The 13,411-nt window shown below is 39.6% G+C and overlaps 1 protein-coding gene across 4 annotated transcripts; it reads right to left on the bottom strand.

The window, feature by feature from the left end:
* Window positions 1–1,972: 1,972 nt before the first annotated feature.
* Window positions 1,973–7,586, bottom strand: IL36A (interleukin 36 alpha). Of its 4 annotated transcripts, none has more exons than XM_011510965.2 (5): window positions 7,164–7,586; window positions 6,958–7,071; window positions 6,308–6,447; window positions 5,000–5,213; window positions 1,973–2,885 (listed from the first exon to the last, which is right to left on the bottom strand). In XM_011510965.2, the coding sequence occupies exons 1-4, from the start codon at window positions 7,171–7,173 to the stop codon at window positions 5,001–5,003; spliced, it is 477 nt and encodes a 158-aa protein (XP_011509267.1). In that variant the 5' UTR covers window positions 7,174–7,586; the 3' UTR covers window positions 1,973–2,885; window position 5,000. The 4 variants fall into 4 exon arrangements, with proteins under 4 accessions (XP_011509267.1, XP_005263696.1, XP_016859295.1 ...); XM_005263639.3 differs by lacking the exon at window positions 1,973–2,885 and adding an exon at window positions 4,228–4,428; XM_017003806.2 differs by lacking the exon at window positions 1,973–2,885 and adding an exon at window positions 4,228–4,424.
* Between the last annotated feature and the right edge of the window lie 5,825 nt (window positions 7,587–13,411).

Raw genomic sequence — 13,411 nt, 5'->3', positions numbered from 1 at the left:
GTCAACAAGAGTACTGGTGATACAGCATTTCTTAATTTATCCACCCTTATCTCCAGACATCATTCCAAGCTGCTGACCTCCATTCAGCAACTTTTGATGCTGTTGCTTTTTTAATTTATAGGATGTGTGAATAGAAGGTTCATCACCAACAACCAGGATCATATTCCTTCAATGAATGTTTTTTCTTGATGATGTATTGAATGAAACATCAGATGGGGAACATTTGTCCAACCACGGCATCAGAAAAACCAACTGTATTTGCAAATGCATAGGCAATGACCACTGTGTCATGACTGCCACTTGGCTGACAATATAGTAAGATGCCATCCATTGTAGTAACACGTATCTAGGTTTCAGAGAAGTTAAAATGCAAAGAAAAAAAAAGTGTTTTCAAGTGGTGAAGTAATGGTATGCACAGCTAACAAAGAAGTTAAGAAAAACATCAATAATGGTTCAAAGATGAATATTTCATTAGGATAAAAGGTATGAAACAAGAAGAAGAAGATATGGCATACATGAACCTTTAGGTACCAAAAAACTTAGAATTAAAGTAATCTAAGCAAATGGTATAAAATAATAACATAATTTGATTAAAAATACAGTCATAGTAAGGTAATTTAATACTCCCTAAGAGAAACTGATAGATCAAGCAAAAAAAAGTAAGAATTAAAAATATAAAGAGTAAATAGTTAACAAAATTCAACTTATAAATATATAAATACATATATGTTAAATTGTATGTATCTATTAATGTCAAAATATTAAAATACATAATATATATATAATTCTATGTAATATATGTTCATATTATGAAATATATTATATATAAATGAAATTGTATATTTATATATGTCTAAATTTATTGGAAATCAGTGTTAATTTTTCTTAGGTTTGCATGGAAAACTTATTTTTAGTGCACAAAGTCACAAAGGAAATACCAAAAAATGCTCAAAGTTGATATCATACAGGCCATTCCATCTAACCATAGGCAATAATAAACATAGACAATTCTAAGGTAGCCCCCATATTATCCAACCACTTGGGAATTTAGAAATAATATGTATAATACACATCTTAAAGGAAAATAATAACCAAAACAGATTGAAGTTGAAATAAAGACAATGAAAACACTGTATCAACATTATAGGATGTGTCCTGACATCTCTTTGAGATCCTGATTTTAATTCTTTGGGATGTATAATGAGAAGTGAGATTTCTGGGTCATATGGTAGTTCTACTTTTAATTTTTTGAGGAACCTTTATACTGTTTTCTATAGTGACTGCACTATTTCAAATTTCTACCCAAAGTGTACAAGGGTTCCAATTTCTCGACATCCTCGACAACACATTGGTTTTTCTGGTAATAGCCATTCTAACAGGTGATATCTCACTGTGCTTTCGATTTGCATTTCTCTGATTATTAGTAAATGCTGAACATCTTTTCGTATACCTGTTGGCCATTTGTACGTCTTGGAGAAATGTCCATTCAAGTCTGCCCATTTTTAATCAGATGTTTGTTTGTTTGTTTGTTTGTTTGTTTGTTTGTTTGTTTGCCATTGAGTTGTGTGACTTCCTTACATATTTTGGATATTAACTTCTTATGAGATACATGGTTTGCAAATATTTTCTTTCATTTCATAGATTGCCTTTTCACTCTTTTGACTGTTTCTTTGGCTGTGCATAAGCTCTTCAGTTTGATAGTCTCACTTGTCTACTTTCGCTTTTGTTCCTTGTGCTTTTGGTGTCATATCCAAGAAATGTTGCCTAGATTCATGTTATGAAACTTTTCCCCTATGTGTTCTTCCAGGAGTTTGGGCCATTTCTGGTCTTACATTAAAATCTTTAATTTATTCTGCACTCTCATGTTCATTGCAGCATTATGTACAATAGCCAAGTTATAAAAACAACATAAATGCCCATTTATGGATAAATGGACAAAGAAAATGTGGCATATGCACACAATGGATTATTATTCAGCCTTTAAAAAGAAGAAAATCCAGCCATTTGGGACAACATGGAAGAACCTGGAGTATATCATGCTATGTGAAATGAGCCAGTCACAAAACGACAAATACTGCATGATTCCACTTACAGATACGATATCTGAAATAGTCAAATTCATAGAAACAGAGAGTAGAATGGTGGTTTCCAGGGACTGGGGGAAGGAGAAATGAAGGGATGCTCTTCAATGCATATAATATTCATTTAAGCAAGAGAAGTAAGTTCTAGAGATCTGTACAAGAGTATACCTACAGTATACTTTATTAACAATATTGTACATTTAAAAATTTATTAGGCAAGTATATCTCATTTTAAGCCATAATACAAGTAATTATAGGATGTATCTCAAGGAATACTAAGAGAAAATGCAATGTTTTATGCATTTATAAGAAAATAAAGGAGAATAAAAACAAGTAGACATAAATTTCTAAAGAAGTTGAATTGCTTCTTCCAGAAAACATCCAGGCAACGTCAAAGATGGCCAGATTTCTCCCCAGCCCTGAGTTTAGGAGATCCAATATCCCAGTTGGTCCAACAGCTGGTCCATACATCTCAGTTTAGGTCCATTAACCTCGTGCATTCATAGACCCCTTTCACTCTCCTAAGTGTTTTGGTCATCTCACAGGTCTAGAGGAATTACCAGCACAGGGAAAGGCAGAGAAGAAACAGTTCTACTTTTTTGTAGGAACCATGAGAAATGAAAAGCTCGGGGAGTGCTATGCTGTCACCAGGAAAAAATGTAATCTCTAACATCAATGTGGTCACTCAAATGCTGAATGGAAGAAGACATCAGGATGGGATGAGGAGGTTGGGGCAATGCCTGCAGGGCCCTGGAATTCATCAGTGTGCTCAGGAAAACAGCATTTCCACATCTTCCTCCAAAGCTTAGGGACAAGTAAAAATATAATGGAAAGTAAACATTACAACAGGACTACACAGATGAACTATTTTGGGAATCATAATACGGCAAGAAATAAAATTTCAGCTAATATTCTGTAAGAAGAAAACTTATTTCAAAATAAGAGAGGATTAAAAAGAAGTCTTCAAAATAAGAGAGGATTAAAAAGAAGTCTTCAAAATAAGAGAGGATTAAAAAGAAGTCTTCAAAATAAGAGAGGATTAAAAAGAAGTCTTCAAAATAAGTGTTCTCTAGATGAATGCGACCCATGTCAGTTTATGGTTTGTGAGTTCACAGGAAAAACCCACAGTAGACTCTCAGAAACCCTTGCCAGAATAGGCAGGGAGGGTTTTTCAGATAGCTGTGCACCTGCATTGTTCACTGAAATAGGGAGTGAAATTTCTATTAGTGAAGCACTATTTGTCCCACCCACCCCAGTAGTGAGGCCTGGAGAAACCTGAGTTTGGGAAGATACCACCCTCCCCAACAATCTTACTGGTTCCTCTTAGAAACAAGAGCCTTTGTGTGAGCCTGCTTTACAAACTATAAAACTCCTTAAAAATGCAAGGAATCAATATTATAACCACAATATTCCACTAAAGCCATTTGATTCATAAAAGAGCCACTGAGATGTCAAAATTTTTATTTCACAAATTTAATGCTTTTGAGGTCCAGTGATAACACTTTAGGTGAAAGCTTCATTTTCTTAATCCAGTCTATCGTTGTTGGACATTTAGGTTGGTTCCAAGTCTTTGCTATTGTGAATAGTGCTGCTATAAACATACGTGTGCATGTGTCTTTATAGCAGCATGATTTATAGTCTTTTGGGTATATACCCAGTAATGGGATGGCTAGGTAAAATGGTATTTCTAGTTCTAGATCCCTGAGAAATCGCCACACTGACGACCAACCTAAATGTCCAACAACGATAGACTGGATTAAGAAAATGTGCCACATATACATCATGGAATACTAAGCAGCCATAAAAAATGATGAGTTCATGTCCTTTGTAGGGACATGGATGAAGCTGGAAACCATTATTCTCAGCACACTATCGCAAGGACAAAAAACCAAACACCGCATCTTCTCACTCATAGGTGGAAATTGAACAATGAGAACACATGGACACAGGAAGGGGAACATCACACACCGGGGACTGTTGTGGGGTGGGGGGAGGGGGGAGGGATAGCATTAGGAGATATACCTAATGCTAAATGACGAGTTAATGGGTGCAGCATACCAGCATGGCACATGTATGCATATGTAACCAACCTGCATGTCATGCACATGTACCCTGAAACTTAAAGTATAATAATAATAAAATTTTTAAAAAAAAAAAGAAAGCTTCATAAACCACAGCAGTTCTTCACCCAAACCAGCACCAGCATATGTAACTTCACTGAGACATAAGCCAAGCCCAGGAGTGGCGCAGTTTTCTTTTTGGTCTCCTCTTTCTGATGGAACATTTATATCTGCTTCTCCTTGTCAGAATCCAAAAGGTCTTGATACTCCATCACAGAGGAATCTATCTGAAAATCCAGAGACCTGGACTTAAAATTTAAGAGTCACCACCCTCCTAACATGGTGAAACCCCGTCTCTACTAAAAATACAAAAAAATTAGCCGGGCGTGGTAGCGGGCGCCTGTAGTCCCAGCTACTCGGGAGGCTGAGGCAGGAGAATGGCGTGAACCCGGGAGGCGGAGCTTGCAGTGAGCCGAGATCGCGCCACTGCACTCCAGCCTGGGCGACAGAGCGAGACTCCGTCTCAAAAAAAAAAAAAAAAAAAAAGAGTCACCACCCTCATTTTTACTTGGAGCATTATTAGCAATTATGTTAAGTAGAGCTTTCCTTATTATTTTTGTAATGGTGCCATATTTCAGCCACATGCTCATGGCAAGGCCCTCAATTTCCCTGGACTATTTTCCACATGGCCCCAGGGAGAGGGACCAGTCCAGCACTTAGGTCACTGCATGAATATATTGGGAGGCAGCAAGATACTCTTAGGTGGAAAGTCCAATAACAAATTCTCCCTGCCCATTCCAGGCTAAGATTATACTAAGATTTTCCCTGCATGGAGACTATCCTCCAAACCCAACTGACCTTAAAACAGCATAGTTAACCCAAAGTCAGTAGTGTTGGCTTTCCCCAGTTCTTGGGTAAGGATGAGAGGACAGCCTCCTTCAGAGCTGACAGCGATGAACCAGCCAGGGAAAGCCACAGACTCGAAGGTGGAGTTCCTGCCACTCTGGCTGTGGTAGAAGAGAAAGGACTTCACAGGCTCGGGTTGGTTGTACAAATCCATTATATCCTTTTCCTGAAGGGTGCGAAGGAGACACCAGCAAGAAACATAACTGTTTGAATGTTTCACATTCTTTACACACTGATATTCCACGTCCAAGGATAGCATTCCCTACTCATTGAAGCAGCTTGGAGACCTCTGTTTCATATTATGGGATTGAAAATCATATAAATTAAATTCTTTTAAGATTATGGTTGAAACTCAGGCTACAAATTTTAATGGTTTTTAATGTGAGGCTCTGAAAAATGTGTTGACATGAAAGTTTTTGAGAATACAAAGCATTGATTGGGCCATTATTTGTTGTTCAGAAACAGAAACTTAAAGAATATTTATGTAACAGTTACTGTAAATTTCAAATTAAAACAGTTATTTTCTGTCAGGTTTCTGCACCTTCAGCACTATTGACATTTTAGGCAAGATGATTCTTTGTTTTCAGGGTCTGTCCTGTATAATAATATAGGATGTTTAGTAGCATCCCTGTCATCTACCCGATAAATGCAAGTATCACACCCCCATCCCAGGTTGTCACAACCAAAACATCTCCAGACATTGACAAATGTCCCTGGAGCAATATCACCCCTGGCTGAAAAACACTGTTTTATATCTTGTCATCAAGTTGAGTGTCTGCTTATGCTTGTTTACTGAAAAGGGTCAAGAGAGTTCCTGTAGTACACAGAGGCCTGCTATAATTATCTTTTTTTAATAATGGAAAATTGCGATTATTGAAGTGTTTATTACAGAGAATTATGTTTGTTCATTTAAAGTTGCAATGTATTTTTTGCCAAAAAGATGTTTTAATAAGTTCGTCTACTTTGTGATAATTAACTGCTAAAATGTCCTTGCTGATTTTACTCTGTGTGTGTGTTCTATTGAAGTTAGACATCATCCTTGCCAAATTATTAATATTTTTGTAAATTAAAATAATAAGTCATTTTAGTAGGTTTGTTTCAAAATGTCCCTGCAATTTTTCTTAGTCTTTCATAACATATACCAACCCCAAGGAAACCAAAAATAAAAATGCATGAGCATAATAAGTACATTGTCTTTTAAAAGATCCTGAAATCTGAGTTTCCATCAAATAAATGGCAGGACCTGTCTTCCACACTCACCTTCAGCTGCAGTGTGGGCTGGTCCCCGACTTTAGCACACATCAGGCAGAGATTGAGTCCATTCAGGCCCAGGTAGATGGGGTTCCCTCTGTCTTTCTCAAGGGTCTCCACATGTCGGCATGAGATTAAGGCAATAGTGACTGGGAACACGATGTGAAAAGTGGTGTTCAGCTGCCATTTCCAGGGTGGTACCTCTGAGCCAGAGTTTTAAGGGAATCTGCTAACTGACACTCACAGTGCACTCATAGAATGGTCACCTCACCACCCACCACCTAACCGGGACACCCATCCTATGTTTGGGGAACACTTTCCATTAGAAAAGTCAGTCTTTCATGGATTCAAAAACTGGTCCTCCCATAGATTACCCTCTTTTGTCCTACTCTTACTCCTTGAAGTTTCTCAGAATACGTCTTCCACTGTTTTTCATAGGCTGACCCTTCAGTCTCCCTTAAGCCTTCTCTCTCTTCTCTGACTTCATGACCATAGTCCCAGAACAACCTTATGCTCACCCTCTATTCATTATTGTCTGTGAGATGCTCCTCTCTGTAGATATGCCCGGTTAACAAGCCCACTGTGGAATAACATCTGAGCACCAAACACACAACAGCACTGGCCAAAGGAGCTGCCTTTCACAGACCGTGGCTACTCACCTGGAGACATACGGTCCTTCCTCGGGACTGCTATGAGCGTCTGGTCCTGAAGAACCCACACCCGATGATTGATATCCTGAATGCTCCCCTGCTGAGGTGTGTCAATTTTCAATGCTGTTGAGAAAGTCAAAATGTAAATTAGTAAGAATGAGAGCACAGAATATCACCCCCTTGTCAATTTTTCGCCCTTCCACGAGGATCTTTACCTTTTTCCATTGTGGTGGTGTTGTTTCAGAACTGCCAAGGATAGGAGTCCTTTTATGTGCAGACCGACCCCAAGAGAGGACCTGAGTCAGTCCCAAGCCACAGTTTAACCCTGGGTCAGATGAAAGACTGGCGGCCAGCCCAGCAGTGACCCCAGTCAGAATCTATACTCCCAGAACTCACCCAGCACCCTTACTTTGTTGGATGCAGTCTACCTCCAGCAGAAGCAGCTGCACCTATGAATCCTGCCCAGGCCTAGACCCAGGAACTCTAATATGACAAAGAGTGCCAAGGCCAAAGACCTGGAAGCAAAAAAAATCAGAGGTCACCAGACTTTCCAGCATAGGCCACACTGATAATCTGTTACGAAGGACCCTGTATCCCTACCATTATGAACAATGGCTTCTACTGCACTTGGGTTTTCTGACAGGCTGTAACAGGGCCCAGGCCTTTTATCCACATGGGCAAGGAAGGAAGTTCTGCCTCACTAAGTCTGGCACTGCCCAACACTCAGGATATTTTCTAGTTCCTGATGCCAGAGGATTTAGTGACTCTTTATGTGAACAGCATGGTTAAGACTTCTCCAAGCAACCTGAAACATGAGGGCATGCTAAACTTTTAAGAGCAGGAAATATAGTCACAGATACTGAGTTGAGAAACATTACGGGACTTCTTCCGGGTCAATGACTCATCTCTGATGCCACAAAATGAAACGATGGAATTATTCCTAAGAGTGGGAGCCCTCAGTAAGTGCAAGGTAGACTGAGGAGGGATAGGTCTCTTAAGACCTCTGTAGCTTCTAATCACTCCTGGTCCACAGGAACTATATTCTTGGTCAATTTCAGACCAGAAGCCCACTCACTCCAGTGACCCTCCTCCAGCTTCTCAGAGCCACTGTGCATGCTGCTTCTCCATGGAAGAAGGGAGTATTACTGTAGCAAAGCCAGCTCCTGAGCACTCTAGCCACCTCAATGGACTCTAGATCACTATCTCTAGTATAGGTAGCGTGATAGTAAATTTTAAGTGTCAATTTGACTGGTTTAAGGAATACTTAAAGAACTGGTAATACATTAGTTTGGGGTAAGTCTATGAGGGTGTTTCCAAAGAAGATTGGTGTGTAAGTCAGTGTACTAGTGGGGAACATCTACCCTCAACGTAGGTGGGATCCATCCAACTGGCCGGGGGCATGGATGGCATGGAAAAGACAGAGAAAAGGTGATTTTCTGTCTCTCCTGGAGCTGGGGCATTCTCTCCTGCCTTTGGACATTATAACTCCAGACTTTGGACTCCAGGACTTAATATCAGCATCTCCCTGGGTTCTCAGGCTTTCTATCCCAAAGTGAGAATTACACCAGTGGCTTCCTAGTTCTGAGGCTTTAGGACTTGAACTGAGCATGTTACCTGCATCCCAGGGTCTCCAGCTTGCAGGTGGTCTGTCATGGGATTTCTCAGCCTCCAAAATTGCATGAGTTCATTCCCCTAATAAATCCCCTTTCATACAAGAGGTCATCAAAAAGTTCATGGAAAATGCATATTATGAAAAAAACTATGCATGGATTTTGAATTATTTTGCACCAAAATAAACTCCTACTAACTTGTTATAAGGTGTTTGAACAGGATCTAGTTTGAGGCACTAAGAAAGGTAAGACATCAGTTTGAAAAGAGCCCCTATAAGATCAACATGAATTCTTCTAAAATTGAAGCAAGAACAAAAATCAAATTTATGGTGAAACTTGGGTGGAAGAATGGTGAAATCATTGATGGCTTATAAAAAGTTTGTGGGGACAATGACCCAAAGAAATCAGCAGTTTACAATGGATAACTCATTTTAAGAAGTGAGACAATATTGAAAATAGCACCTGCAGCAGCAGACCATCCACATCACTTTGCAAGGAAAAAACTAATCTTTTTGTGCCCTAGTTGAAGAGGACTGAATATTAACAGCAGAAATGATAGCCAATATCATAGACATCTTAATTGGTTCAGCTTACACAATTATGACTAAAAAACTTAAAGTTGAAGCACAATGGCTCATGTCTGTAATCCCAGAACTTTGGGAGGCCGAGGCAGGCAGATCACCTGAGGTCAGGAGTTCAAGACCAGCCTGGCCAACACAGCAAAACCCTGTCTCTACACAAGTTTGTCAGTTGACCCTGCAGAACCCACTTATACAAAAAGTCAGCCCTCTTCATCCACAGGCTCAGCATCCCTCAATGCTGGTTGGTTGAACCTGCAGATACAAAGTGCCGATTCTGTATGTGTGTCTGTGTTTGTGTGCATAAACACACATCCTAATGATTCTATCTCTCTGGAGGCTCCTGACTAATACAGCAGGAAAGGAAGCCTGGCTGCCAGAGGCCCCAGTGCTCTGAGCTCGCAGTACCTGACATTAGGTCTACACTAAAAGGAAGCTGAGGTAATACTGTTGATGCTCTGCTCCATACCTTCAACAACCTGAGTTCACAACTGCTGTTGGAGATCCTAGCATCTGTCAGCTTCACACCTCTAGGGCTTCCATCTCAGGGGCAACTTCAGTAAGTGGTGAAAGAAACTGGTAGACAAATGTTCAGCCACCCCATCCTCTGATACGATAACACTAAGGTTTCTCAGAGTTGCCCCATAATAGTAACAAGATCACTAGCATTTTCTCTATTGGATCTCCTGGAATAATCCCCTGAATGAGCTCCCTGCATCCAGGATCTGCCTTGGGGAGAACCCAAACTAACACAGTAGTTTGGTGTTTGAAAGCAAAATACTTGTATTCAAAAGATGTGCATTCAAAATTAGGTTTTGCAACTTTTGGAATTGTGTCTTTGGAGAAATTCTATCACATCCCTGATCCTCAGATGACGCATATGAAATGCATTACACCTTGCTGGGCTGTTATGTGGGTTAAAGAAGAGCATGAAAAGCTCTCCATAAGTGACAGCTTCCTGGAGCAACTGACCTAATGAGTCCCCTATGTCTGTCACCAAGCCCCAGATTGACCTGTTTATCTCAGTCAGCATTTTTGCTGTGACTACCAATAGATCATCTCAGATCTCGGTTTTTTTGCAACTTCATCAATGACCTATCTGGCCAGCAGGAGAATTTCCTTCTGTTTACACCCTGTCTCCTTCCCAGATATTCCTACTGCATGGTATGATATAAAAGGCCATTAAAATTTTGTCCCAGGGAGCCCCACAGTCATCTCCTCAAGAGTGTGAAATCATGTATAGCCCAAATTTAAATGTGTAGCAGGTATCCCTGAGTCAAAATTAGAATTTGGTATCACGCTGAGTTTATAAAGAGGAGCTTCCTCAGGTCTCCATTAGCATAAGATGATTTCCATACTCAAAGAAGAAAGTTCAGAGCCTATGACATCAGCTCCACTCTCTCTGCACAGAACTGAACCCACATGAATATCTTGGGGGAAGAGGCCCAAGGTCCTTCCATAGGTATGAAGATGCAAACAGACAAAACATATTGGTTTGGATGCTGCACATATGAATGCAAACTCATTTGTGACAACAGCTAAGATGTAGGTCCTTTAAAATTCTTATTTCATCCCATAGATACTTGGAGCTCTATATGGCCTGGGTACTTAGGCCACAGTGCCATCAGTGGAGGTGGTGAGGGCTGTGGTGATACCAGATTGTTCAAGACCTGTACTTATTTCTCTCTAGCATGGAGGAAACATCCTTTATAGCCAAAAGGGTGAATGCTCCTGAGAAAGGACACTGAGCCAAATATGATGAAGGAAACTTCTCACTCTGCAAGAAAAGAATTCCACAGGAGTAAAGCCTAGAGTTGCAGCCTTCTCTATCTCTTCAGCTATCCAGAACTAGACCTGTCTTGGGATTTCATTCCTTTGTCCATCCCTATCTATCCTTCATTACTCACTTCAAAGTTTAATATAGTCACCTCTACCCTGCAAATCTTTCCCAAATCCTATAGCACAATTTCCACCATTTATTTTGGCTACTATTATTCATGTATTGCCAAATCATTAGATAAAATTTTCCTTGTTGTGTACATCTTTAATACTTAAGGTGTACTTTATGGATGATACATTGGCATTATTTTGAAGCTTGCCAGAAATGCAGAATCTCAGGTCCTACTCCAGACCTACAGAACCAGGATCTAAAATAAGGGAACAGTAAAACCACTATATGCTCTCTGCTGATATAGTACACCTTATGCTCAGTACTGTAGTCACACCAGCACAAAAATAAAGAAGTCAGTGCACAGGGTTGGGGCTGGGGAGGTGGCAAGCTCAGGAAATCTAGATTGCCTTTCTCCAACCTCTAAGAACCATGGAGAGGACTGTCCTGGCACTGACTTTCACTGAAGAGAGAAAGAAAAAGAAAAGAAACATTTCTGGAGGGCTGTGGCCAGGGACAGACTCTCACAAAGATTTTCACACTAAATACTCATAGCTTCATTGAGCTAAAAACAATCAAACTGTATTCAATTTTATGTAGGCTAAACTCATTCCACAAGAAGCAAAAAGAAAGTCTCTCTAGAGGAGGGAAGAGTCACTCAGATACATTTTCAACGGCACAAGCCACACATAGTTGAAGATTACCAGGCATATGAGTAAACAAGGTCACAAGAACAAGAACAACAAGAAAAAAGAAACAAAGCAAACAAAACAAGATAACAGAAACATATCTACACAAACTTCACATTTTGTAATTTTTTTACACACAGCTTAAAGCAACCATCCTAACCATGTTTAAGAAACAAATGAAAAACATGAAAATATTTTTCTAGAACAGAAAACTATGGAAAGTGACAGATTTGATGGAGTCAAGCAGAACCTCTATGACTGTATGATAAGTAAATTAAATTAAATAAGCCAATAGCTATATTTAGCAGTAGGCATCACACAGCAGAAAAGAGAATTAGCAAATTTGAAGACAAATGAGAAGAAATCCAGATTGGAGCACAGGCACAGGAAAGCCAGAAAATACAGAAGAAGGTGGAAAAAATGTGGAGAAAAAGGTGAGAAGTTGCAAGATATTGACTGGAGTCCTAGGAGGAAAGATAAAATAAGGCAGAGTAATTATTTGAAGAGAGAATGGCTGGGAATATTCTCAAATAATAAAGACACTGATTCACAGTTTCAAAAAACACAATAAATCTCAAATAACATAAATGTTTTAAAGATTCACTTCTAAACACATCAGATTGAAATTTTATAAAACCAAAGGCAAAAATTAAATGTAAAAGTAGCAGATAATAAAAACTCATTACCTTCGAGGGGTGCAAAAGACTGACAACTGACTTCTCAATTACAACAATGAAAGCCAAAAGACAATAGAATGATATCTCAAAATGCAGAAAGGAAACCTTCCAATGGAATTTCATACTCTGCAAAATTTCTTAAGTTTTTCAGATTAAGGGAAAATCAAGAACTTTCTGAGACAGAAACTTGTGGTGGCAGGTTAAGTATATCAGTCCCCTCCCTCTTGGAAGTAAAGCAGTTTGTCCTCACAGGGATGACTACATAGTCTGGGTGTGGGTTTGCTCTCCTACATTCAGAACCTCAGCTATAACCACTATCCAGGGGCCTATGGAATCCCATGCAATACAACATCCAACCAGTGAGTCCAAAACAACATAGCAGCTAACCAAAACACTGGCCCTATAGTGAAGGAAGAGCTGAAACAGGTCCATGATCATTAAGTTCACTTAATGGTATACTAGTACATTTTTAATAACTGGCTCTCCAGAAAAAAAAGAAAAGCCCTGATTTGTAGTATTTGTCAATTTTCTTGATGTAAATACTACTATAATGGGCAATTTCAAGTTGCCAACCGACACAGAAAATCCTGAAAATGTAGTAATTGACCCTGCAAAGTCAGTATAAGCCTGCTCCACTACTTCCCTGGACTCATTGGTCAACCCAAAAGTAGCAACCTGTTGGAGCATTGAATGGCCTCCTGGAGGTATACCTGGAACACCATGTAAGTGGTAATACTTTGGAAGGATGGGCTGCCATCCAGCAGTATATGTAAGAGGAGGTATAGCTGCTTTTACATATGAAGATAGGGAGGTATATGTGTGTAATATTTGTGGAACCCAAGTGATCCATTTGGACACCTCTTGGTATTCCCTTGAATAACTAAATGTGAATAGACATGCAGTAACCCCAGCTCAAGAAGTACATGACTGCCAGAGTGAGGGATTTGATCACATCCCCAGGAAAGCCACTAAGACCTGCCAAGCTATTAGTTGAGGGTAAAGGAAATTTAGAATAGACAGC

The sequence above is a fragment of the Homo sapiens genome, chromosome 2, assembly GCF_000001405.40.
Source record: "Homo sapiens chromosome 2, GRCh38.p14 Primary Assembly".
Classification (NCBI taxonomy): domain Eukaryota; kingdom Metazoa; phylum Chordata; class Mammalia; order Primates; family Hominidae; genus Homo; species Homo sapiens.
The sequence above is the reverse complement of the archived record's forward strand: the minus strand, read 5'-3'. Positions and strand labels throughout refer to the sequence as shown.

Coding starts and splice junctions, on each gene's coding strand:
- IL36A (XM_011510965.2), bottom strand. Junction 6,448..6,957: donor GAAGGACCGTATGTCTCCAG/GTGAGTAGCCAC, acceptor TCGTGTTCCCAG/TCACTATTGCCTTAATCTCA. Junction 5,214..6,307: donor AGCCCACACTGCAGCTGAAG/GTGAGTGTGGAA, acceptor CGCACCCTTCAG/GAAAAGGATATAATGGATTT.